Source organism: Homo sapiens, chromosome 15 (genome assembly GCF_000001405.40).
Source record: "Homo sapiens chromosome 15, GRCh38.p14 Primary Assembly".
NCBI classification, from domain to species: Eukaryota; Metazoa; Chordata; class Mammalia; order Primates; family Hominidae; genus Homo; species Homo sapiens.
Genome location: NC_000015.10, coordinates 75,326,480 through 75,330,430, shown reverse-complemented (window position 1 = coordinate 75,330,430; position 3,951 = coordinate 75,326,480). Strand labels below are relative to the sequence as shown.

Below are 3,951 nucleotides of genomic sequence, written 5' to 3'. Positions count from 1 at the left end.
GGGCATGGCGTGTGGAGCAGTGCCATCCCTCTGTGGCAGCGAGCCAAGCAATAAACCAGAATGTGCAAAACCTGCGTCCCAGAATCACCGTTCCCGGAGGGAAAGCCTATATTGTCAAGATGCCCACAACTAAATTAACCCAAACATTCCATCCAGCCTTGAAAAACCAGTAGAACTTTGACGTTAATATACTAACCCTCAAGTCTATACAGAAATGTGTAAGAATAGCCACATACTGTAATGTGCGGTCATTGAGAGAGAGGAGGCCGTCAGAACAAATGGAACCAAGTCCAGAAACATGTCTGTCTAGGCGCAAGATTCCAGCATGTGTGTCAGCCAGGGAAGCAGACCAGGAGGAGATATTTATTAAGATTTAAAACCGAGCTGCATACCTCAGGCCTATAATTCCAGCACTTTGTGAGGCTGAGGTGGGAGGATCGCTTGAGCCCAGGAGTCTGAGGCTGCAGTAAGCTATGATCTTGCCACTGCATTCCAGCCTAGATGACAAAGCAAGACCCTGTCTCAGAAAAAAAAAAAAAAAAAAAAGTGCTGAGATGCGCTCTTACATGAAGCCACCTTGGGCACAGTTTCCAAGACTGGTGAAGCCTCACTCAGGACCAGGGGGCCCAGCCCTAGCTAAGTTTCCACTGCCTGAGTAGCACAGTGTCCTGTAGGTGGCCATAGTGTCCTCAGTCCAGTCTCTGTTGGGCCTCAGATCCCCCAATCATGCCCCTTCTGCCCAAGCTCTGCCTCATTATGGCCTCCACTGACCGCAGCCTCTTCCACCTTTCCAAAGGGACCCCTACTCATGCTCTCCAGCCCACAGGAGCACCTGCTTCTCCAGGAAGCCCACCCTGCTGGCTCTGGGCTCTATCTAGGAGAGCTGGGAAGGCTGGATCCCACCACTGAGTTCAGTCTCGGGGGTCTCCACCCATGCTAGGCTTCCACTGATGGGACATAAGTGGCCAGGGGGGTTCTTTACATCCACACAAGAGCCCCATGGTGACCAGGAGTAGGGTTCTGAGAGGTTAAATGACTTGCCCAGGGCCCCAGAGCTGGCTAGAATTCCTGCACTGCCACAACCAAGGCCTCATTTGGGCCTCCCACCTGGGGGCCCGGACACCCCTCTGCATCTACCAGGCTGGGAAACACACGTCTGCTGCAGCTTCCTCCCAGTGACTTACAGCAGCTGCAGATTTCTAGGGGGCCTTCTACTGGGCCTACCGCAGCAGGGAGCCGAGAACGCTTACAGAGCCCTGCGTTCTCTCTCTGCCCCCTTCGGCTCCAAACTCATACTAGCTGGTCTGATGTAAGACAGGCCTTGGTGAAGGAGTTGGGGCTCTGGTCAGTAGCCCAGGCCTTCAGGAATCAGGTGATGTTGATCTGGAGAGAAGGTGCCTACTGGGGGGAGCAAGCATGGCCCAGAGCCCTGGCCCCCTGCAGGGGCAGCCCCCTCTTCCTTCCCAGGATCCCCTGAGAATCCGAAGGCATCCAGGGTAAAGTGCAGTGTTCAGCTGTGTCCTGGGGTCCAGGAAAGTCAAGGAGAACTTGCTCCACCTGCTGTCCACCAGGCACCCCAGCAGAGAACAGCCTCAGCCCACCCCAGCCCAACACCAGATCCCAGGGATGGATCCACCTGTAAGAGGGCAGCATGAGACTGCCCCCATTGTCCCCAGAGAGTCCCCTCAGTCATGGGCTCTGACCAGGGTGCAGGTGGGTCCAGCAGGCTGGCCCAGCGTGGGTATGGCTGCCCATTGGTCCTCTGAAGAGCCCCAGGGGCTTGTAGCAGCTGGTGTATGTCTGGGCTTGGAAGCAGAGGATGTCCCCCAGCCAGAAGGCAGGGGACACTTGTTTTGCATTCGAGTCCTCTGCAAGGACAGGGACCCCAGGCTCTGGGAACCCCAGCTCTGCCCACCCCTACCCACAGCCTAGCACCATTTGGCCCAGGCAAGTGGCCCCGGCTCCCACAGAGGGAGCCACCCTTCCTACCTCCTGATGTTTGCCCGCACCAGTCAAGTTCCATTCTGGAAAAATCCTCCACGTCCTTGGGAAGGCACCTCCTCCTTGACTCCTTTTCAGAGCTATCGTCCCCACTTCCATTTTCTACCTATCATTCAATGCAGAGACCAGCTTCTTCCTTGACTCCTTTTCAGAGCTATCATCCCCACTTCCATTTTCTACCTATCATTCGATGCAGAGACCAGCTTCTTCCCTGGGCCAGAGCTGCTCTGGAGGCAGGGAGGTCATGGCCAGGCTGTAGGGTGTAGCAGAGCACCGGGTATAGACCAGGCTCTGCAGGCACACCTGGGCAGAGATGTCAGAGGCCCACAGGTGGTCCCTCCTTCCGGCCCCACCCACCTCACAGGCAGAAAGAGGGAGGCTTCACAAGGAGGTTGAGGTAAACAGGAGAGCCCGGGTCACCTCTGTCTCATCTCCTGCCCTCCTGGGACAAAGCCAGAGGTTGGAGCTGGGAGGTGTTGAGGGCCCTGGCCCAGCCCTGGTTTCACTGATGAGGCTCAGGGAGGGGCTGGGTCAGCCCAAGTCACTGAGTCCATAAGGGAGGGTTCTGACCATAACCCAGGACCCTAGAGCTAGCTGAGGCCGCATCCCTTTCCCACCTAGACCAAGGTAGGGGCATGAACTGGCTTCTGGCTTCTAAGGCTGAGGCCCAGCACACCTCTTCCTCCCCTTGCCTGCAGCTGTTGTCACACATCAAAAGTGAGTTTTTCCCCAAGGGGCTGGAGGTGCAGCTCCTTGGGCTGGACCAGGTGGCCAATCCAAACAAATCCCTGTGTGTCCCCACCAGCCAGGAATTCTCACACCGCACAGCAGCTGGGGGCACTAGGATACCCTGGGGGATTCCAGGGATGAGCCCTCCCTGAGGCTCCCACAGCAGCACTGCCGCCCCCAGACCCCCCAAAGCACCATGTCCATGCAGCCTTCGAAAACCTGGCCCCTCACACACACCTGCCCCACTCCTCACACCTGGCTTTCCTGTGAAAAGTGGAAATGGTTCCACCTGGGCCAGCTGGAGAAGGGCCTCTGGAAATCACCATTCTGGGGATTCATTCCAATCATTCATTTATTCACCAAATACCCACCGTCCACCTTTCTGTACCAGGCCAGGGGTGATAGTCAAGTGGAACACGTGTCCCAAGGAGCTTTCCTCTCTTTAGAGACAGGCAGACTCTCAGACCATGAGGTGCCCTCTGGTCTAGGGGGTGCCCAGGGCTGGATGCAGGCAAGGGCCTTGCCCACAGGAGGTGCTGGTGGGTACAGATGTGGAGGCCACCATGGGGTGAGGGTATCCAGACAGAGGACCTAGCATGTGCCCAGGCCCAGGGTGTGACCTGGGGCAGGTACGGGGCTGCTCTATCTGGAAGGCTTCCTGAATCTGCCAACAATAGGCCGTGGCTGGATCAGGCTTCATGTTGATTTTTAATATTATATTTAATACATTTTGATTATGTAACTAAACATGATTATTGTGATAAAAATTAAGAAATACAGAAAAGCTAAAAACACAAAAAACCAGCAAACCACTTCTCTCCCTAAATAACTGCTTCAACAGTATTTTCAGACTTTTTTTCCCATGTATCTGCAGCTATAAACATAAGCTGCACAAGATAGTATCCTTCCCCATATTCTGTTTTGGAGCTGGATTTTTCACTCAGCAGTGAATAGAGGCAGGCTTTAAACAGGCCACGCATTGTGAGGGCCCTGGGAAAGGAGACTGACCATGTTGCTGGGTGACCTTGGGCAAGTCTCGCCCTCCTCAGAGCCTGGATTTCCTCAGTCCGGTGAAGGGCAGGAAGGGCTGCAGTAGGACTACATCAGCGCTTCCCAAACTCAGAACCGCCACGTGGAGCTGTGTGAGCTGTCACTGCACAACCCCAGGGGCAGGAGCATTCTTGTCACGGCCTCTGTGAGTGGGGCTCCTGCCCAAAAGTG

At 55.3% G+C, this 3,951-nt stretch overlaps 1 annotated feature.

Moving 5' to 3' along the window:
• Nucleotides 337-493: a silencer, noted in NCBI's record as "fragment chr15:75622279-75622435 (GRCh37/hg19 assembly coordinates)". NCBI's record gives its function as "represses an EF-1alpha promoter that drives an FKBP-Casp9 reporter gene in an ReSE screen in K562 erythroleukemia cells {active_cell/tissue: K562}" and the evidence as "EXISTENCE:reporter gene assay evidence [ECO:0000049][PMID:32094911]".